Here is a 23,782-nt window from a genome sequence, read left to right as displayed (position 1 = left end):
TGTAACATTGGTTATAATTAAATTTATCCTTATGAGAGGATTGCTCCACAGGAAGGGATTTGATTTTTTTTCTTAGAAAACTTTTGAGTTTCAAAGTTTGGAAGGGGAAAATAATGCCTTTTTTTTTTTAATTCCACAGAATGGCAACATACTTGTTTAACATTGAATTCTGTGCAAGAAAGAAAAAATTTAATATATTCCTTGCCAACAAGTGGTGGAAAAACCCTCGTGGCTGAGATTTTAATGCTGCAAGAACTGCTTTGCTGTCGGAAAGATGTTTTAATGATTCTTCCATATGTGGCAATTGTCCAAGAAAAGGTGTGTGTGTGTGTATGTTTTAAAACAAATGTTATTTGCTAGTACTTTGACGTTAAGATCTGTAAATGTGATAACTTTGTATTGTTGAGAAGTACCTCTTTTTTTTTTTTTTTGAGATGGAGTCTTGCTCTGTCACCCAGGTTGGAGTGCAGTGGCACCATCTTGGCTCACTGCAACCTCCGCCTCCCAGGTTCAAGCGATTCTCCTGCCTCAGCCTCCTGAGTAGCTGGGATTACAGGCCCATGCCACCATACCCAGCCAATTTTTGTGTTTTTAGTAGAGGCGGGGTTTCACCATATTGGCCAGGCTGGTCTCAAACTCCTGATCTCCAGTGATCCACCCGCCTCAGCCTCCCAAAGTGCTGGTATTACAGGCATGAGCCACTGCGCCTGGTGAGAAGTACCTCTTAATGATGGAGAATTAATATTTTTAGAATGTATAAAAGCAGTATACACTACCTAAAATATCTTCAAATACTAATTACCAGTTGTTGAAAGTTTTACTTTTTCTAAACTGGTGGATTAAACATCATCTTAAATGTTCTATTACTATTTACCCTGCTTTTTCTTTTTTGAGATGTAGTCTCCCTCTGTCGCCCAGGCTGGAGTGCAGTGGCACAATCTCTGCTCACTGCAACCTCCGCCTCTTGGGTTCAAGTGATTCTCCTGCCTCAGCTTCCCAAGTAGCTAGGATTGCAGGTGTGTGCCACCATGCCTGGCTAATTTTTGTATTTTTAGTAGAGATGGGTTTTCATCATGTTGGACAGGCTGGTCTCGAACTTCTGACCTAAAGTGATCCTCCCACCTCGGCCCCCCAAAGTGCTGGGATTACAGGTGTGAGCCACTGTGCCCGGCCTTACCTTGCTTTTTCAAGCAGAAACTATTACTAAAATGAGTTATTCTGATGCTTTTTTTTTTTTTTTTGAGACAGTCTTGCTCTATCACCCAGGCTGGAGTGCAGTGGCATGATCTCAGCTCACTGCAACCCCCACCTCCCAGACTCAAGTAATTCTCATGCCCCACGACCCCACCCAGCAGCCAGAATCGCAAGCACACGCCACCACGCCCGGCTAATTTTTTTATTTTTGGTAGAGATGATGTCTCGCCATGTTGGCCAGGCTGATCTCAAACGCCTGTCCTCAAGTGATCCACCTGCCTCAGCCTCCTAAAATGCTGAGATTACAGGCATGAGCCAACACACCCCTGATGCTTTTTGGTATCAAAGGCGCCAGTTGAAATTTATTTTCACATGTATTTTAGAAGTTGCATTTATTTTGCAAAGATCGAGACATTACAGCATTTCTTACGTATGTCTTGCCTGTGACCTTGTTCCTGTTGATGGGTATTAAACACTACTTTAGCTTTTTTGAACCCCATGAGCACCTAATGGGGGGTTTTTTACTTGTGTTTTTTGGTTTTGTTTATTTATTTATTTTTGAGTCAGGGTCTTGCTCTGTCGCCCAGGCTGGAGTGCAGTGGCATGACCAAGGCTTACTGCAGCCTCAATTCTCTGGACTCAGGCAGTCCTCCCACCTCAGCTTCCCAAGTAGCTGAGACTACAGGCCTGTGCCACCACAGCCAGCGAATTTTTTATTTTTTATAGAGATGAGGTCTCACTGTGTTGCCCAGGCTGGTCTCACCTTCCTGGGCTCAAGTGATCTTCCCGCCTCAGCCTCCCAAGGTACTGGGATTACAGGCATTGGCCACAATGCCTGGCCAATTTTTCTTTATTTTAACTAATATTCTAGATTTCAGGTTTGTCAAGTTTTGGTATAGAACTCGGTTTCTTTGTTGAAGAATATGCTGGAAGCAAAGGAAGATTTCCTCCAACTAAAAGAAGGGAAAAGAAATCACTCTATATTGCCACTATTGAAAAAGGACATAGCTTGGTGAACTCCTTGATTGAAACTGGAAGAATTGACAGTCTGGGTCTGGTTGTTGTAGACGAGGTTGGTTAATACTTTTGTAATTTGTCAATATTTTTATTATACTAAATATTTATTATTCTGGTTATTGTGTGGATCTACTTAGTACCTTAGTACCTCTATAAAAATAAATTTATTTGAAAATATAGACAATATAGGTGAAGACATTCTATGCTTGATAATCTTAAATTTGGTTTTGTGTCAAGTGTTTCTTGAAGTGTGAACACGTATGTGTGTAGTATACAATTTTATTGGCTGGGCGTGGTGGCTCATGCCTGTAATCCTAGCACTTTGGGAGGCCGAGGCAGGTGAATCACTTGATGTTAGGAGTTCAAGACCAGCCTGGCCAACAGGTGAAACCCTGTCTCTACTAAAAATACAAAAATTAGCCGGGCGTGGTGGTGGGCGCCTGTAATCCCAGCCACTCGGGAGGCTGAGGCAGGAGAATCGCTGTAACCCAGGAGGTGGAGGTTGCAGTGAGCTAGGATCACGCCATTGCACTCCAGCCTGGGGGTCAAGAGCCAAACTCCGTTTAAAAAAAAAATTTTTTTAGTAGTACTTATGAATCCCAGATTTATAAGGATTTTGTACCAAAAGCTCATTAACCTAAATACCAGTGAAATAATATACATGTATTATAGTTGTTATATTCAAAATACTTAAAAGTTATAAGCAACTCTTTACAAACAAATTTCATATGAATATATGCATGTTTTATATGAGCACTATATGAAGATTTACTTCTCTGTCCTTTTTAAAAAAAATCTCGAAGTTGCACATGATTGGTGAAGGAAGCCGTGGAGCTACACTGGAAATGACCCTAGCAAAAATCCTCTACACTAGCAGTAAGTATTTTTTCAAATGAGGTCATGAATTGATTTATAATCAAGAGACTTATAAAATACTTAATTCTATCACTAGCTACAGTATGTAACCTAAAGCAAGATACTTAAGCTTTTTGCCTTTGTTTTAAAATTTCTAATGAATAGAATTTTGAAGGTAAATGAAATTGGTATTTGAAGAAGTCCTCTATTATTATCCGCCACTTACTAGCTATGTGTGCCCAGGCACATCCCTCAACCTCTATGTTTCTTTATCTGTAAAACAAGGATAATAATGGTACCAGCCTGATGGGATTGTTGTAAGGATAGTGTGAGTTAACACATGTATTGCATTCAGCAGTGCTTAGCACACTGCATTCAGTAAGGGTTTGCTGCTGCTACTGTGGCCATCATCATCATCACCATAATAATACATATAACATAAATATTATAATAATAATATTGTAAAGCGATACATTTAAATAGGTCAGTTTAAGGAGCTATTTTGCAGCATCAGGTAGTCTTTAAAGTTTATGAAAAATTTATTCTAAATGTCATAACCTACTATTGATATGCTATTGCAATATTTACCTTATATATGGAAAAATTAACTATAAAGGTCAAATCTTAAAAAGTATTTAAAAAATTTCAACAGCAATAATATTTAAGCAGGTTATAGCATTTTATAATTGTTCATTCAAAAAAATATTGATCACCTACTGTGTGCTAGGCACTATTTTAAGTGCTAGGGATACAGCAGTGAATAAAATAGTCCCTGCTTTCATCAAGCCTGTATTTTAGGGCATCCCTATTTGAATATTCTCTGAACAGCTAAGCCTAACTAAGGCTTAGTCTGAGCCAAACTCATTTCCTTCAAAGCCGTTCTTCAGCCTGAATTCTCAGCCACCACTCTCCAGCCAGCCAAGCCAGGGTCCTACATATTCTATCAGCAACCAAATCCTATCTGGTTTACCTCATAAATATATTGTTACTTCTGTCTCTCCTATCCCTCATTACCACTAAGTCTTTAGTTCAGTACCTCATCCTTTCTACCTGGATTGCCACAGAAATCACCAAGTTCTTCTGTGTACCCACTGCCCTTCATCCACCAAATCCATCTTTCTTTAGCGCAAGAAGAATGATCTTTCCCAAATGCAAATCCAATTAGTTTATTTTACTGTTTACCATTCTTTAATAGCTCCCCTTTGCTTTCTGCATAAATCCCTAATTTCTTAGCACAGCCTTTCTTGATTTGACCCCATGCCCACCTCTTCAGCTTTGTAGTCTATCCTTATGGAATGAGAAGGATACTCCCACTTATTCCTCTTTCAGTGAGTTTCTTGAATGATCATTTCAAGACATAGGAGCAATGAAGAAACATTTGCAAAGAAGGCCTATTTGGGTTTTCATTCAATAGTTAAGTCTATAGAAAGCAGCCATTTTGTATTGCCCAGGATGTCATATGGCTTCATAAGCTTCACTCCACCTTTATTTAAAACAACATCAACAAAAACTATAGTCCCAACTACTCGGGAGGTTGGGGCAAGGAGAACTGCTTGAACCCAGGAGGTGGAGGTTGCAGTGAGCCGAGATCATGCCACTGCACTCCAGCCTGGGCAACAGAGCAAGACTCTGTCTCAAAAAAATAAATAAATAAATAAAATTAAAAGTTAGCTTGATAGCAAGATCTCATAGAGGACTTTTCATGGGCCAAGAGTTCGAGACGCATTTAGCCCTCTATCCTACTACCTCTACATCTGTCTATAGCCATACCTGTGGAACATATCATAGCTCTTCGTAAAGGGGATCCAGATAGACAGTTATAAGCAGATTTATACTCATTTATTATTGTTTAGAAGCCTTAATATCCTAGTTCTTGCCAAGTTTGAAACTCTGTAAACTTCTAAGTAGTAACTTTCAGGATACCTGAAAAATTTCATTCTTCAAATGCCAGATTAATACTCTGGTAATATATTTGTAGTTTTCTTTTTTTAAGAGGTCAGGTCTCACTGTTGCCCAAGCTGCAGTGCAGTGACACAATCATGGCTCACTGCAGCCTTGACTTCCTGGGCTCAAGCGATCCTCCCACCTCAGCCTCCTAAGTAGCTGGGACTACAGGCGTGCACTACCATGCCCAGGTAATTTTTAATTTTTTTGTAGAGATGAGGTCTTACTATGTTGCCCAGGCTAGTGTTGAAGTCCTGCCCTCAAGCGATCTTCCCACCTCAGCCTCCGAAAGTGTTGAGATTACAGATGTGAGCCAGGCACCCAGCTATTTGTATTTTTCTTACTTACCTCTCCCACCCCTTTCCCAAATCACTCAGGAAGAATTCAGAGCACAAAAGACTTGCTAAAATTACTTTATGATATATTAAATAACATATTTTCCTTAACACTTTGGCTTTTGTTTGTTTGTGTTTTAGAAACGACTCAAATTATTGGTATGAGTGCAACATTAAACAATGTTGAAGACCTACAAAAGTTTCTTCAAGCAGAATATTATACCAGTCAATTTAGACCAGTATGTACCTAAGGTTTGCACTGTATTGATTTGTTTCGTATTCATCTAACTTAGAAATGAAAGTAGTAAACATAGGATTTAAAGAATTCTGTAGAGTAGTGAAGGGGCATATTTTACTCACCATGACTATATGCTAATAAGAGGTTGTGTATAGAGAATTTAAGAGTTTGTGTATAGGTCAGGGATCTTGGGTTGGGTCACTAATGTATCTATAGCCTGGCCCACAGGCTGTCAATGAACGTTCATTGAATGAGTTTTCCCAAACCCCCATTTTATTTTTTCACTTCTTATTCTGTAAACTAAATTTTTTTATTTGGCAAAATTTTAGTGAGACATGTTTTGAGTTATTGGCACATTAAAAAATATATCTTAAAATTTAAAATATTTTTAAATATTTATATGTTAGTAGTTATAATACTTTTTTAATAAGTTAAGGCTTCACATGGATTTACATATAAACTCCTCAACAGCAGCATTCCCAAAATGCTTGAAGAAAGTAAACAAATGTAATTTGTGGTTATTTGAAAATAGCTTGTAATGTATATATATTTTTGTGTGCACTACTAGTGTGTATGTTTTGTGCCTCAATAGTTTTTCAGTGTCTAAATAGGTTTTCAGAAAATATTTTTTTAATTGCCAAATTTTAATTTGAAATTTGATGTTTTAGCTGGGTGCAGTGGCTCACACCTGCAATGCCAACACTTTAAGAGGCCGGGGCATGAGAATTGCTTGAGTCCAGGAGTTCAAGACCAGCCTGGGCAACATGGCGAGACCCCTGTCTCTACAAAAAATTAAAAAATTAGGGCAGCCAGGCGCGGTGGCTCACACCTGTAATCCCAGCACTTTGGGAGGCCGAGGTGGGCAGATCACGAGGTCAAGAGATCGAGACCATCCTGGCCAACATGGTGAAACCCCGACTCTACTAAAAAATACAAAAATTAGCAGGGCATGGTGACGCACGCCTGTAGTCCCAGCTACTCTGGAGGCTGAGGCAGGAGAATCGCTTGAACCCAGTGGGGCGAAGGTTGCAGCAAGCCGAGATTGCGCCACTGCACTCCAGCCTTGCAAGAGAGAGAAAAAAAAAATTAGAGCATATTAGCACTCACATATAGTCCCAGCTACTTGAGAGGGTGAGATGGGAGGATCACTTAAGCCCAGAAGGTTGAGGATACAGTAAGCTGTGTTTGTGCCGCTACACCCCAGCCTGGACTACAGAGTGAGACCCTGTCTCAAAAAAAAAAAAAAAAAAAAAAAAATTGATGTTTTTACATTTGAACCAGATAGGAACATTTTCAAGAGATATTTTTTAACTTAATTGCCACAGTAGACATTGTTATTGTTATTATAAAATGCAATGAGCTGTGTTTACAAACTGTTTTTGTCGACAAATAAAGAAAAATAGTGTGGTGGTATTTAGAATTAAAACTGATGAATAATAAGACAGAAAGTTTTGGCTGGACACGGTGGCTCATGCATGTAATCCTAGCACTTTGAGAGGCTGTGGCAAGAGGATCGCTTGAGCCCAGGAGTTCAAGACCAGCCTCAGCAACATAGAGGAACCCCATCTCTATAAAAATTAGCCTGGCGTGGTAGCGCATGCCTGTCATCCCAGCTACTCAGGAGGCTGAGGTAGGAGGATAGCATGAGCCCTGGAGGTTGAGGCTGCAGTGGGCTGTGATCATGCTACTGCACTCCAAGCCTGGGTGATAGAGTGAGACCCTGTCTCAAAAAAAAAAAAAAAAAAAAGACAAAGTTTTAGATCTTGAGACATAAAACAGATGATACCTTAGTAAAAGTTAAGAACACCAAGACTCACACTTTTTGTGACAAATACAGAAGTGTGTGGTTTCTTTTTTGGATATGATGTTTACTGAATTCAAACATATTTCTTCAAGGATATTGATCTCTATTTTGATTTTAAGGGAAAAAGAGACCAAAACAGAAGAAGAAGAAATGGTAAAGCAAGAACTTTTAAGTTGAAGCATGTTTTATGTATCTTAGAAAAGCTAAACTCTTTTATAGCTGTCCTTTCTTAACCTATTTTACAATATTTAAAACACTGGAAAGATGAATTTATATGTCGTATTAATTGCAAATGTCCTTTTAATTCAAGGTTGAGTTAAAAGAATATCTGAAAATAAATGATACAATATATGAAGTTGACAGCAAAGCTGAGAATGGCATGACTTTTTCACGTCTTCTTAATTATAAGGTAACATTGATAACATTTAAATTCCAGGTTACCAGACTTTGTGTCTGGGGCACAACAAGAGTTTCCAATGGATTCCGTAGAATAGTCTAGATTTTTCAGAGAAACAGCTGATGCTTGACATTTGTTGGACACCATGCAGACTGCCAGTTCAAGATAGCTCGTTTCCAGTTTCAACATTAGATCACACCATATTCTTTTCTATGACATCATATCTTTGTGAAGTTGGGGTTTTTACAGTTGCTGTAAGCAAGTACCGTGTGAAAATCAATCTGGAACAGAAGAGAATAGCTGTGTCCAGTCTTATTTCAGATTTTGAAAGACAGTACCAAGTTGTGCACACATCCCATTAGTGAGCTGTTGTGGTTATTTAAGAATGAAATAAAAATATTTTTTCACTCAACTGATGTGTATTATTTATTCTAACAGCTACTAAATTGTGAGGAAGTACGTATTTATTAAGTTGTTTGGACCTCACTATTTAATTAACAAAACTGTAAAGTATTTCTTTGGGCCCTGGGGCTGTGAACAAAGAAAATTTGGAAAACTCTCCTGTAAATGTTTATTCATACAACAACAACAACAAAAGAATAATTTATGGACCATGTAGTTCAGATATTGGTGTATAAAATGTTAATGTCTACTATGTAAATTTTAGTGTTTTATGACTTGTATGAAGGATATTAAAAAGGGGAAGAAGGGATTATACAGTAGTTTTAGAATTCTGTGAAGATGTGTTATTCTACAGCTATGTCTTTAGTAAAGTTGAAGAAATAGATTTTAAATAACTTCACATTTTTTCTTCATGTTCTTTGTGTTCCTCATGTGACTACAAAAATTGTCATAATTCAGTAGTATGATTGAATCTGTGTTTTTGAAAACTTAATGGTTGTAAAGGGCATGTCTTATTTACACAGTCCGTTAACTATTATTAGGATCAATCTGTGTTTCTCTCTGTGGACTTTTTTGTTCTGCTGTGGTGGAGATGGGCATGTAGTGAGGCTATTAATAACATTAACTATTTTCACTTCTTTAATTTTCTTTAATTCACTTGTTTAATTCTAGGTTTTTTTTTAGACTAACTAGACCTAAGAAAATCATAATAACCTAAAAGAAAAGTGAGATTGAACATTTTGATGTTTAATATAGATTTCATCTTTTCTTTTAAATGATCAGATTTATTAAATTAGAAGTTTAGAATTATAGATGGTTTATTTACCTTTCAAATCACACTGGTAAAAAATTGACAGGGTTTCATGTTTACTAACCACTTTGTTCCTACATCTTGTTGTTTTGCAGTATTCTGATACCCTAAAAAAGATGGATCCTGATCACTTGGTAGCATTGGTGACAGAAGTTATTCCCAATTATTCCTGCTTAGTTTTTTGTCCTAGTAAGAAGAACTGTGAAAATGTAGCAGAAATGATATGCAAATTTTTAAGCAAGTATGTTAATATTTTTTAAATAGCCTGTTTTATTTTTATTAGGAATTACAGACTATGTATTAATTTTATTGGGCAAACACTAATTATGCCTTGCAAAACATCATATTAAGTTGTTTTAGTATACTGAAGGCCTTGACCTTGAAGAAAGAAATTTTAACTGTGAAAAATCACATGTGAAATAGCCAGAGAAACATTCTAAGGTGGCTGGGCACCATGGCTCATGCCTGTAATCCCAGCACTTTGGGAGGCCGAGGTGGGTGGATCACTTGAGGTCAGGAGTTTGAGACGAGCCTGGCCAACACGGTGAAACCCCATCTCTACTAAAAATACAAAAAATTAGCTGGGTGTGGTGCCTTGCACCTATAATCCCAGCTACTGGGGAGGCTGAGACATGAGAATCTGTTGGACCCGGGAGGCGGAGGTTGCAGTTAGCTGAGATCGCACTACTGCACTCCAGCCTGCGTGACACAGCGAGACTCCATCAAAAAAAAAAAAGAAGACCAGGCACGGTGGCTCATGCCTGTAATCCCAGCACTTTGGGAAGCCAAGGTGTGCGGATCATGAGGTCAGGAGTTCAAGACCAGCCTGGCCAACATAGTGAAATCCTGTCTCTACTGAAAATACCAAATTAGCTGGGTGTGGTGGCGTGCACCTGTAGTCCTAGCTACTCGGGAGGCTAAGGCGGGAGAATCACTTGAACCTGGGAGGCAGAGGTTGCAGTGAGCTGAGACCACACCATTGCACTCCAGCCTGGGTGACAGAGGGAGACTCAGTCTCAAAAAGAAAAGGAAAAAAAAAAGACAAAACCCTAAGACTATATGTATGAGAATGTTAAGTAATATTAGGTCAGTGATTCAAAACCTTGGGTGCATAGTGAATCATCTTGGAGGCTTTTAAAAATTCCAAAGTCCAGGCTACATCTTAGACAAATCAGAATCTCTGGGAGTGACACCCAGATATCATTTTGTAAAGCTCCCCAGGCAAGTCCAACATATAGCCAAGGACAGGAACAACTGGCTTAGTCAGTCAAAGGACTAATCACTGTTACCACTGTGGAAATGAATTGTATCTTCCATTGCCTTTTTTTCTCTTTTCCTTTTTTTTTTTTTTTTTTCCTGAGACAGGGTCTCACTCTGTCACCTATGCTGGAATGCAGTAGCACAAATTCAGCTAGCTCACTGCAGCCTCTGTCTCCTGGGCTCAAGTGATCCTCCTACCTCAGCCTCCCAAGTAGCTGGGACTACAGGCACACACCACCACTCCCAACTAATTTTTTGTAATTTTCATGGAGATAGTATTTCACCATGTTGCCCAGGCTGGTTTCGAACTCCTGAGCTCAAGCAATCCGCCCCCCATAGCCTCCCAAAGTGCTGGAATTACAGGCGTGAGCCACTGCGCCTGGCCTGCCTTTGTTTTCTTAGTAAACTTCACACTTAGTTGTATGGACATTTGGATATAATTTCCTGAGTAAGAAATGTGTTGTCTTATAATTTTGTAGTATCTTAATATTGGCTCTGTCGTATTCATAGAGATAAGTATGAAGTTACTTTAACTACTAACAGTTCAGTTTTTTATACACCTGTTTGTCCCATGTGTGGTTTTATCATTTTCTGAGATTTCTTTCAGCCCCTTAGCTAATGCTGTATCACTATTCATAGTCTATTAACCTGAATGCTAATCTAGTCAACCTCTACCTCCTCTTTCAATCCTACTATCATGGATTGGTCTAAGATAGACTTAAATTTATTGAATAGCAAAATATAAAAATGTTTGGAATAAGATGAAGGAGTTGCTCATTTTGGTAACAGTCTGCTTTTACAATGATTTTGATTATAAAAGCTTAAGGAAATTAAATTATCATTAAAAAAATTCTCAGTAAATCATTCATTTTCTTAGAGTAATTCAAGGTAATAAGATGGAGACACTGGCTAAGTGATGGAAACATTGTAGGATGTGAAGTTTCTAAAGTGCAAGTGTTTAGGCAGTGTTTTACCATGGAAGTATGATTTAATAATATGTATGTTTCCATCTTCAGAAAAGAAAATTTATGTCTTTAAAAAAACTATCCCCTATAAAGATATATGTTATAAAGAAAAAAACAGTTATAACATCCAGAGCAAAGGTCTAAACCTGGTGTCCATGGATTCAAAGGAAGTACAGGAATGAATTTTAGGAAATCCACGAACCCTCTGAAATTATATGTAAAGTGTTGTATTTATGTAAATAGTTATATTTTTCCTTTTTTTTTTTTTTTTTTTTAGACAAGGCTTTGCTCTTTCACCCAGGCTGGTAGGTTCATAGCTCATTGCAACCTCAAACTCCCGGGTTCAAGCAATCATCCCACCTCATCCTCCCCCATAGCCTGGAACTGCAGGTGCATGCACCACCATGCCCGGCTAATTTTTGTTATTTTTTGTAGAGGTGGTCTTGCTTCACTGCCCAAGCTGATCTTGAACTCTTGGGCTCAAGCAATCCTTCTGCCTCTACCTCCCAAAGTGCTGAGATTACAGGCATGAGCCATCGCATTTCGCCTTTCCTTAGTTTTGATAAGATTTTCACAGGGTTCTGTAATCCACAAAAAGATTGAGAGACTGCCTAATAGTTAATGAAGTCAGAATCAAAATTCTAAGAACATTTAATGTACTTAACTCAATGGAAATAGTACATTAAAGAATGTTTACATTAGCATCTACTAAAATGAAAATGGTAGAAATTTTGTCACTAAAAGATCAAGGGCTCATATTTCTAACAGATCTTTTTCATAGGGAATATCTGAAACATAAGGAGAAAGAAAAATGTGAGGTGATTAAGAACTTGAAGAATATTGGCAATGGCAACCTGTGTCCTGTTTTAAAGCGCACTATCCCATTTGGAGTTGCCTATCACCACAGTGGCTTAACAAGTGATGAAAGGAAACTCTTGGAGGAGGCCTACTCCACAGGAGTGCTCTGTCTTTTTACCTGCACATCTACCCTAGCGGCAGGTGTCAACCTACCAGCTCGAAGGTAAGAGATAAGTAAGTGTTGACCAGGCTCAGAACTTTTCCATTTCTAGCTTGCGAGGAGTTTTGTTGTTTTATGCTTTCTCAGTAGTGGATGAGAATTTATCAAATGTTCTTTTAGCATATGCTGAGTTGATTGGTTGGTTTATTTTCTTTAATATTTTAATGAATATGTAATGAAATATGTAATGAAAAATAACGTTAATAGATTTCTTGATATTAGAATTCCATCCTTTCTGCTCTTTATATCTGGTTTTGATGTTAGGGTCTATTAATCTGGTTTTGTAGAAATAGTTGGCAAGTGTTTTACCTTTTTTATGATATGAAAGAGTTTATTTAACATAGAGATTTCCTTGAAATCTTGGAGAGCTGATCCATAGGCAATTTGTGTCTAATATATGTATTTTAAAGCAGGCCCTTGATTACCTTTCCAGTTATTACCAAAGGTGTAGGCCTGTGTAATTGACTTCTCCCCTTTATAATTTATGATCATGGGGTATTTTGCTAATAAATGATCAATTTTTATAAACTTTCCATGAGTGTTTAAAAAAATATGTATTTTCAGTTGAATATGCAGTTTTGTACATCTCAGCGAGATCACAGAGGTTCATTGTGTTATCGGCTTCTCTATTTTCTTACTATATTTGATTCCTTGGTCTATCAATTTCAGAGAAGTGTGTTAGTCTCCCACTTTAATTATGTAGTTATCAGTTTCTCCTTTTTGCATCTCTAGAAGTTATTACTTTTTATATTTCAAAACTATTTAGATATACAAAGGTTTACTTCAAATATCTTATTGCCGAATTATACCTTTTATCAATACAATAAATACTTGTTTTTCTCATTTAATAATTTTGCTTTGAATACCAGGACTCATTTTTTTTTTTTGCCACGTATGTACCTTTTTCCATTCTTTTATTTTCAATTTCTGTCTCTCATTAAGTTTTCCATTTTTCAGACAATTGAAGAAAAAAATGAAAGTTATATATCCTGTTTCTATTATTCCAGTGGTTACTCTTAAAATTTTAAGTTGTAACCAAACATTTTTTATTACTTTAGAATTAATCAATAACTGTCCTCTCCTGAACATAAAAAGAGGCTTAGCATGTCCTTAGTATATTCTACTCTGCCCCATGAATGTTGCAATTACTTAGAATTTTAGTGCCAGATTTAAACATTTTCTTTCATCTTATGTAGTATTTAAACTTACCTGTAAATCATACTTCTTTTTTGCTTACCACTGCCTCTTATATCCCACATCTTTCTTCTCTGATTTTTTTTTTTTTAATTTTGCCTTCCTTGAGTAATCCTTTTTAGAATACCGCTTTAGGGGGTAAAACATTTTGACTCTTTGCATAGTTGAAGATATCTGTATTTTGGCCTCACACTTTTACACTTCACTAGCAAAAGAATTCTAGATTCAATTTTTTTCCTTTAGGGATTTTGTAAATATTGTTCCATATTTTCTAGAGGCCAATGTTGCTCATTTTTGTCTCTGCATGGATTTTCTGTTTTTCTTTTCCAGAAACTTTTAGACTTTTCTCTTTAACCTCCCAATTTTGTCATGGTGTATAATAATAGTTGTAATTACTACATTCCCCTCCCTTTCATGTAGTAACAACTTTACATGCATTGACTTGATACAGCTTCACAATAACTCTGTGAGGAAGGTCATATTTTATTACACACCTATTATAGAAGGGGAAACTGAGGCACTAAATAATTAAATAATTTTCCCAACTTTAAAAAGTTACATAACTTTTTCCCAACTCATTTTCCAACAAATGAGTTTTAAAGCCAGTGTTTGAACCCAGGAAGTTTGATTTTACAATCCCAACAGTACTACTTTTCATTCATAGGGCTTAGCACTTGGGTGGATGCTTTTAATCTAAGCTTTATGCCTTTCTTCTTTGAGTAATTTTTTTTCTGTTATTTCTTTTTCTTCCCATTATCTCTGTTCCTTGCTTTTATAATTTCACTTAGGCAGGGTTGAGGCCTCTTAGATTCAGCTTTCGTATCTCTTTTCTTACACATTTTTCAGAATGTGGAAGAATGTAAGCACACGTTTGTGCCATGTAATTTTTTTCAACTTTACCTTCCATATCAAAAAATCAGTTTTTTTGTAATCCCAGCACTTTGGGAGGCAAAGGTAGGAGGATTGCTTGAGCCCAGGAGTTTGAGACCAGTCTGGACAACATAGCAAGACCTCATCTCTACTAAAAAATTAAAAACTTAGCTGGGCATGGTGGCATACACTTGTGATCCCAGCTGCTCGAGAGGCTGAGGTGGGAAGATTGCTTGAGCCCAGGACATCGAGGCTGCAGTTAGCTATGATTGTACCACTGCACTCCAGCCTGGGCAACAGTGAGACCCTGTCTCAAAAAAAAAAATGAGTTTTTAACTGATATCCATTAACTACATTAACTGTATCCATTAACTATTTTCATTCATTATTCAGTTCTTCAATTGAATTTTCTTTTTTGTGAGACAGAGTCTTACTCTGTTGCCCAGTGGCCAGGCTGGAGTGCAGTGGTGCGGTCTCGGCTCACTGCAACCTCTGTCTCCTGGGTTCAAGCGATTCTCCTGCCTCAGCCTCCCAAGTAGCTGGGATTACAGGCGCCCACCACCACACCTGGCTAATTTTTATATTTTTAGTAGAGTCGGGGTTTCGCCATGTTGGCCAGGCTGGTCTCAAACTCCTGACCTCAGGTGATCTGCCCACCGTGGCCTCCCGAAGTGCTAGATTGACAGGTGTGAGCCACCACACCTGGCCCTTCAAATTTTTTATGAATTTTTAAATAAAGTTAATTTTTTTTTATTTCTAAGAACTCTCTTTTGTTGTTCTTTCCTTATAATAGTCTACTCCTTTTTTTTTTTTTTTTGAGACAGAGTCTCGCTTTGTCTCCAGGTTGGAGTGCAGTGGCATGATATCTGCTCACTGCAACCTCTGCCTCCCGGGTTCAAGTGATTCTCCTGCCTCAGCCTCCCAAGTAGCTGGGATTACAGGCACACAACACAATGTTTTTTAGTTTTTGTGTTTTTAGTAGAGACGGGGTTTCACCATGTTGGCCAGGGTGGTCTTAATCTATTGACCTCGTGATCCTCCTGCCTTCGCCTTCCAAAGTGCTGGGATTTACAGGCATGAGCTACCACACACGGCCAATAGTCTACTCCTTTTTTTTTTTTTTTTTTTTTTGAGACGGAGTCTCGCTCTGTCACCCAGGCTGGAGTGCAGTGGCGCAATCTCCGCTCACTGCAAGCTCCGCCTCCTGGGTTCACACCAGTCTCCTGCCTCAGCCTCCTGAGTAGCTGGGACTACAGGCGCCTGCCACCACGACCAGCTAATTTTTTTATTTTTAGTAGAGACGGGGTTTCACTGTGTTAGCCAGGATGGTCTCCATCTCCTGACCTCGTGATCCGCCCCCCTCAGCCTCTCAAAGTGCTGGGATTACAGGCGTGAGCCACCACGCCCCGCCAATAGTCTACTCTTATATTGTGGATATAATACTCTTTGGAATTTTCTGTTAATGCTAATTAGGATTTTTAAAAGTTCTCTTCTGATCCCTATATTATCTGGTTTTGTGGTCACTTATTCTGTATATTCATGTTATGTTTCTTTTATGTTATTAGTTTTCTTCAAGTATTTGGTAATCTTTTCTGCATATGAGATTTATAAATAAAGAGGAAGTTGACTAGTATAGGTAAACAATAGGTTTTTTCTTCCCTTTGGATAAGAAAGCTGACTAACTGACTATAGACTTCTGTATATATGAACATAATTGAAATTGCTTTTTTTTTTTAAGAGATGGGGTTTCACTCTGTTGCCCAGGCTGGAGTGCAGTGATGTAATCACGATTTACTGCAGCCTCAACCTCCTAGGCTCAAGTGATCCTCCCACCTTAGCCTCCCAAGTATCTGGGACTACAGGGGCACACTACCATGCCCAGCCAGTTTTTTGTTGTTGTTGTTGTTGTTTTTGTAGAGACTGCATCTCACTATATTGCCCAAGCTGGTCTCAAACTCCTGGACTCAAGCAAACCTCCCACATCAGCCCTCCAAAGTGCTGGGATTACAGGCATGAGCCACTGAGCCTGGCTGAAATCACCATTTTTGTAGGTCAAAAACAGTTGACATCTGCAATTTTATACAGTTCAAAATAATAAAAATTCATAAATAGATATGTATATGTTAGTGGTGTATGGTCATATTTTTTATTTATGGAGTATAAAGTCCAAACGCTTTGGAGACTACTGCTACAGATTGATCATAGGCATTGCAGCTGGGCAGACTTGAGTTCAAATGATAGCTCTGGTAATTACTAATTTTTTAGTTTAGGATAAGTCAGTTAACTGAGTTGTAATTAATTCCTTTATAAAAATGAAATAAAAAAGTATATTATAACTAAGAGTTTTGTAAGAATTATAGATAATATGTGTAAAAACCTAAGAAATCATAGATTCTTGGTAAACACTAGTTACCTATTATTTTGTGTTAGTATGTCATTAAATTTAATATCACAAATATATAATGAAATTAAGAATTTTTTAAATTGGTGCTGTTTGCTGTAGAGTATCATTTTTCATTAATTCCACAGAGTTATTTTAAGAGCTCCCTATGTTGCTAAGGAATTTTTAAAGAGGAATCAATATAAACAGATGATTGGCAGAGCTGGTCGTGCTGGAATAGATACTATTGGGGAGAGTATCCTCATATTGCAAGAAAAAGACAAACAACAGGTAATACTCAATTTGGTTGGTTGGTTGTTTTTGTCTTTTTCTTGGTTGTTGGTCTAGCCCTTTTATGAAATCATCTTTTAAAAATTAATTATTAATTTTCTTTAAATGATGCTTTCTTTCCTATATGATTAAGAATTAGAGTGGTTTGAAAATGTATGTATTTCAGACAATGAAAAAATATTTTTCCTATTTGTTTTTCTTCCATTTTTAATGAAGATAAATGTTAAATTCTTTTGTCTTTACTTTTTTGGTCTCCTTCTGGCTCCACAAGATTTATGTAAAGTATAAAATATTTATATTAAATACCATTTATTTTTAATAATAACACAAGGCATGGTTTTGCTTTAACCTTTATAGGTATTGGAGTTAATAACTAAACCATTGGAAAACTGTTACAGCCATCTTGTTCAGGAATTCACCAAGGGAATCCAAACATTATTTCTCTCTTTGATTGGTTTGAAGGTATTTTTCTTAAATTTTTTATCTTATTACTGTTATCTGAGACAATAGAGGTTAAAAAGTTATGCAATAACTTTATATATGCAACTGTGTAGATTTTATACTAATTTTTTATTTAATAATTTTTTCTTTTAATTTTTTTCTTTTTAATTTTGTTTTCTCATCCCCTTCAGTGATTAATGTAAATAATTTTTAAAAGATCATGGAATGGTTAGGTGCAGTAGCTCACACCTGTGATCCCACCTCTTAGGGAGGCTGAGACAGGAGGATCGTTTGAGCCCAGGAGTTCAAGACCAGCCTGGGCAACATAGCAAGACCCCATCTCAAAAAAAAAAAGATCACTGAATCCTAATGCTTGGCAAGTGGTTGGCACTTAATAAATACTTGAATTAATGAAATTGGCTTTTTTTTTTCTTAGAGATGGGGTCTTGCTATGTTGGTTAGATTGGTCTTGAACTCTTGTCCTCAACAGTCCTCCCACCTTAGCCTCCCAAAGTGCTAGGATTATAGGCATGAGCCACTGCGCCTGGCCTGTTTTGTTTGTTTGTTTGTTTGTTTTTTCTTTAATCTGGGACATGGTGATGAAATTAACTTTGGAACTGAGCGTGGGTGAACTTCCAAGTTGGGGCATCAGTGGAGAATCTGGATTTGAGAAGCCAGAAGCAGAGGCTGGCCCAGTGGGTTTCAATTACTATGTCAAAAACTTTTTCAGGGAGGAATAGAAAGATAACATGATGGTAGATAGAGGGATCAAGTAAAGGTTCCCCTGCCCCCCTGCACTCTTCCACCCCCAGTGTTAACTCTAATCATTTAGGTAGGAAACAGTACAAAAACAAAGTACATTAATAATCCAAAAACCAAGTATCAGTTCTTAAATATCTTAAAAGTATAATTTTAGCTTAATTGAATACTATATTAATAATGATTTTTATTAAAGTGGGAAGAAGCAATAGAAAATGTCTGTGCTCCATTATATTTTTCTTACCCCTTATATTGGTTTAATATGAAATTACGACTTAAATTTTCCAGTTGAAATAGCATCAGAATTGTAAGAGAGAGAAATATACTTATTGATTGACTATATTTTAGTATAACATGCTGATTTCATTGAAATTGGCTAATAAAAATTATTCTAATTCAGAGTCAGCTCTACATCTGAATACTAAATGGAGGGTTAAGTATTCCTTATGATTGCCATTGTAAGTTATAAATAGTGAATAACAGTGAAAGAACAAGAAATGGAGATAGGAATGAGAGAGACAAAAATAGGTAGAGATCAACTATTTTTAGGTAACATTTTAGGCAAAATATTGTCTGACGCTGTTTTAGTGGAAACTTGTATTTTTTTTTTCAGTTCTTTTTTTAATTTATTTTGTTTTTTGTTTTTTTTTTATTATACTTTAAGTTCTAGGGTACATGTGCACAATGTGCAGGTTTGTTACATATGTATACATGTGCCATGTTGGTGTGCTGCACCCAGAAACTGTTGTATTTTCCTTTTTTTTTTTTTAATGCAACTTTTAGAGCTAAAGGATGTTTTTACAGTTGGGTGGAATGCAGTGCAGGGAAGATCCCTAAAGGAGGCTGAGTGAGAATTAGTGAAAATTGGTTGGGGAGTAAATAGCACAGTTCTGGAGATATTGTGAAAAATTATTTAAAGATCTATCCAAAGGAGTTTTGGAATGAAAAATGAGTACATGTTTTCATAAAAAGCATGAATATAATAACTATCATCCCCCTAAATTTTTTGTTAATTTTTAATTGCCATTATAAATTTATATATGCAACTGTGTAGATTTAATACTAATTTTTTATTTAAATAGCTTTGAGGTATGGAAATGAGTTATCTTGATTAATATGCATTCAAGGTGATGCCTTGAATTAAGGAAAATGCTCCAATGATATCCTGAATTGTTTCAGATTGCAACGAATCTTGATGACATCTATCATTTCATGAATGGTACATTTTTTGGTGTTCAGCAAAAGGTTTTATTGAAAGAAAAAAGTCTCTGGGAAATAACTGTTGAATCACTTAGATACCTGACAGAAAAAGGACTCCTACAAAAAGACACTATTTATAAGTCTGAAGAAGAGGTCCAATATAATTTTCATATTACAAAGTTGGGACGTGCTTCATTTAAGGGTAAGAGTTTACCTAAATCTTATTGATCATAGGAAACACATTGGAAAAAATGAAAATTAAATTATACTTTCTTTAAGCTGGGCACAGTGGCTCACGCCTGTAATCCCAACACTCTGGGAGGCCAAGGGGAGCGGATCACTTGAGGTTGGGAGTTTGAGACCAGCCTGGCCAATATAGTAAAACCCTGTCTCTACTAAAATACAAAAAAAATTAGCCAGGCATGGTGATACATGCCTGTAGTCCCAGCTACTCGGGAGGCTGAGGCACAGGAATTGTTTGAACCTGGGAGGCAGAGGTTGCAGTGAGTCGAGATCACACCACTGCACTCCAGGCTGGGCAACAGAGCCGAGACTCCATCTCAAAAATAAAAAAATAAAAAATTATACTTTCTTTAAGTTGTATTTATAATTTTATATTAATTACATTAATCTTATTTTATAAGCTGATAACTCCTTCAACTTTCAAAAGTTGAAAAATGTTTTGAATTATAAGTACTGCAGAAGTATATAGAGAATAAGGTAGGCATCCCTCCTTCATGCTTCCCTCCTAGCAACCATACAAATCTTAATATTCTACCAAGAATAACAATTTGGTGTATATCTTTCCAGACCTTTACTGTACATTTCATTTCAGTGCATAATATGTACATATGTACAGTTTTAAGTTTTTGTCTTTAAACAAATAATCATTTATATTATTCTGAAACTTTTTATAAATTAAAAAAATTTTTTTTCTTTTTTTAAATATGGAGGCAAAATCTCGCTATGTTTGCCAGGGTGGTCTCAAACTTCTCACCTAAAGTAATCCTCCTGCCTCCCAAAGTGCTGAGATTACAGGCATGAGACAACACATTTGGCCTGCAACTTGCTTTTTTTCCTGAATATAATGTCTTAGAGATTGTTTCATGACAGTGAATAAAGTGTTGTGGGGGTTGTTTTGGTTGGTTTGTTTGTTTGCTTGTTTTTGACAGGGTCTTGCTCTGCTGCCGAGGCCAAAATGCAGTGGCGCAATCTCAGCTCGCTGCAACCTTCGTCTCCTGGGCTCAAATGATTCTCCCACCTCAGCCCCGCAAGTAGCTGGGACTACAGGGGCATGTCACCATGCCTGACTAATTTTTGTATTTTTAGTGGAGATGGGGTTTCACGATGGTGCCCAGGCTGAGGCTTTTTTTTAATGAAAAATAATACATGTCTGTTGTTAAAAAAAAAAAACCTAAGAACTCAGAATTATGTTAAGGAAAGTGCCATATTCCTGTCCCATTTCAGGAGCTACTACTACCAGTTTGATATGTATTCTTCCAAATATTTTTATGTGTGTATTTATTTTTCAAATGGAATGATCATTTAAATATTTTTTTCCAAATTACATTTCTCATAAGATATCATGAACATCTTAACAGATGAGTCTCTTTAAATCTATCTCATTTTTCTTTTAATACTACAGTCATCTATAGTATGGATGTACCATAATTTATTTAACCATTCGATGTTGATGGACACTTGCATTCTTTTTTATTTTTCTCTGTTATAAACAAGGCGCATGGACATCTCTATGTATTTTGGGGTACATATGGAAATGTTTCTCTGGATTAGATTCCCCAAAATAGTTGGTTCAGAAGGTATGTACTTATAAAGTGTTGATGAGTACTATCAAAATGACCTCCAAAATAGTTATATAGTAAGATGTTATAAGAGATTTTGAAGACTTTTTGCTATATTTAAGCAATTTCTACACAATATTTAAAGCCATCTCTTTGCCCCTCTGGTAATTGTGAAAGATTGAATATTTGTATCTTTCTTTTAGGAACTATAGATTTAGCTTATTGTGACATTCTGTACAGAGACTTGAAGAAAGGTCTTGAAGGACTTGTGCTTGAAAGCCTTCTTCATCTAATCTACCTAACAACCCCCTATGATCTGGTTTCACAGTGTAACCCTGATTGGATGATATACTTCAGGCAGGTGAGAATATAACGTTTTTCAACTTAGGCTACTTCGTTTATGAATTATTACATGCTGTTTTGTTTTGTTTTTTAGAGATGAGGCTTTGCCATGTTGCCCAGGCTGGTCTCAAACTCCTAGGCTCAAGCAGTCTTCCCACATTGTCCTCCCAAAGTGCTAGGATTACAAGTGTAAGCCACTGTACCCGGCCTATTATATGCTTTTTATGAAGTGATTATTCACTTTTTTTCTCTATTAAAATATATTTGGAATTGGATATTTTTTTCTTTCAGTTTTTAAAAATTATAATCTGGCAACAGCATTTATGGTTCGTTTAACTTTAATGTTACTTTTCTCTTAAATATAAACATATTTGTTATTGAAAAAAGTAAAGGTTAAAAAAAAGAAAAAAAGATTATCCGTGGTCCTATTTCCCCACAGAAAGTTACTGTTATGATCACTGCATTTGATAATGCCTAGAATGCAAAGAAAACAGTGAAAACCATCTCTGATGATTTAGAGTTTAATTACATGAAAGCTCGGTCAGAGCCAAGTATGATAATACATTAAACCCAATGACGTTAATAACTGAAAAGGAATATTTATTTTACAACCCATCACAAAGTAGAACTGTCCATACTTATTATAAAGCCAAGTGGTAACATACAGTATATTATGATTTTACTGTGAACAGGCTAGCTGTATAAATGTATATTAGGGCTGCATGTGGTGGCTCATGCCTGTAATCCCAGCACTTTGGGAGGCCAAGGTGGGAGGATCACTTGAGGTCTGGAGTTTGAGACCAGCCTGGGCAACACGGTGAAACCCCGTCTCTTCTAAAAGAATACAGAAATTAGTTGGTCATGGTGGCGCACACCAGTAGTCCCAGCTACTCAGGAGGCTGAGGCAGTAGAATCGCTTGAACCCAGGAGGCGGAGGTTGCAGTAAGCTGAGATCATGCCACTGCACTCCAGCCTGGGTGACAGAATGAGACTGTCTCAAAAAAAAAAACAAAAACAGAAACAAAAACGTATATTAGACAGAGGTAGTATACATCTTTTAATCACAGGAAATTAGCTTTCTTTTTAATGTCATATTTTTAAATCATTACTGTTTTTTTTTCTTTTCTCCATCTCTTCTCAACTTCCTGAGTTTACATTACTCAGGAAGTAAGTTTTTTTTAAGTAGCACTATATAATGCAATTACTCTCAAACCTTTCCTTCTCCTTCCCCTCAGCCATCTGGTATTAAATATAGTCATATAGTCCATGGAAACCAGTACTTGTGGCTATGCCTTTAAGTAATTCTAAAGTGTGTTATATCCTTGTTATATCCTAATGATGTAACTTTAAAACCTGCAACATTTACAAATATATTTATCTTGTTTTTTGTATCCTGAATCATGAGAATGTGATATCAAAAGAAATACTGGATTTGGTTCACATGACAGATTTTTTGATGTTTCCATCTATTTGCTCTTTTTCCATGTAGTTTAGCCAACTCAGTCCAGCAGAACAAAATGTAGCTGCCATTCTTGGAGTCTCTGAAAGCTTTATTGGGAAGAAAGCATCAGGCCAAGCCATCGGAAAGGTACCACATTCTTTTTTTCTTCCTAAATAATAAGTTCACTCAACACTTAGTTCACTCACTAAGTTCACTCAACAAAATTAGTACCATTATATTGATCTTTTTTGGTTTACATTTTTTCCTTTAAATTAGTATAACGTTCATTTTACTACTTAAAACATACCTGAGCACCCAAAATGTATGAATATTTTTAAACAACATTTATTTCTGGGTAGTGTGATGACCTTTTTTTGGGTAGCATGAAATGTTTTCATAATATTACACAATCCTGATATAAGTTCAATTCAAACGAGGAAATACATTTTCTAGAAACTATATTAGGCTTTCTATTTGGTATCAAGGATTCTAAGATAGGACAGGTCTGGGTTTTTTGTTACTGCTTTTGTCATCCTCAAAGAACTCCTAGTCTAGTACTTATATTACATAAAGCATTTTAGAAGGTTAAAGGGGATAAGCTAATACTCGTTGGTGTGATATATTTTGGTGTTTTAAAATTCAGTCTGCAGGCATGAAGCAAGTTATCAAATGCATACACTAACTTTAAGAGAAATTGAAGTAATTCTTTCATAACCATACCTTCGATTTCCTTAAGAGAATGTTATTTTCCCCCTTGTAATACACTTTTTTTTTTCATTTTAAATTTTATTTGGCAATCCAATTTACATTGAAACCTAGTTA

General features: G+C 36.6%; 1 protein-coding gene across 4 annotated transcripts in view; it reads left to right on the top strand.

The window, feature by feature from the left end:
* The window catches only part of HELQ (helicase, POLQ like), a 48,538-nt gene that overhangs the window by 6,783 nt on the left and 17,973 nt on the right, over positions 1-23,782 (top strand). The window contains exons 3-14 of one of the 4 annotated variants that reach the window (NM_133636.5): positions 140-318; positions 2,066-2,266; positions 3,015-3,087; positions 5,487-5,584; positions 7,698-7,796; positions 9,093-9,238; positions 12,004-12,243; positions 16,834-16,975; positions 17,333-17,437; positions 19,355-19,577; positions 21,381-21,538; positions 23,009-23,107. In NM_133636.5, coding sequence (NP_598375.3) covers positions 140-318; positions 2,066-2,266; positions 3,015-3,087; positions 5,487-5,584; positions 7,698-7,796; positions 9,093-9,238; positions 12,004-12,243; positions 16,834-16,975; positions 17,333-17,437; positions 19,355-19,577; positions 21,381-21,538; positions 23,009-23,107 — 1,763 coding nt within the window. Of the gene's footprint in view, positions 1-139; positions 319-2,065; positions 2,267-3,014; positions 3,088-5,486; positions 5,598-7,697; positions 7,797-9,092; positions 9,239-12,003; positions 12,244-16,833; positions 16,976-17,332; positions 17,438-19,354; positions 19,578-21,380; positions 21,539-23,008; positions 23,108-23,782 lie in introns of all 4 variants that reach the window. The other 3 variants (NM_001297756.2, NM_001297755.2, NM_001297757.2) reach the window with 3 other exon arrangements.

This window comes from Homo sapiens, chromosome 4, assembly GCF_000001405.40.
Source record: "Homo sapiens chromosome 4, GRCh38.p14 Primary Assembly".
Taxonomy (NCBI): domain Eukaryota; kingdom Metazoa; phylum Chordata; class Mammalia; order Primates; family Hominidae; genus Homo; species Homo sapiens.
Note: the sequence above shows the minus strand (reverse complement) of the source record. Positions and strands in the feature narration are given on the sequence as shown.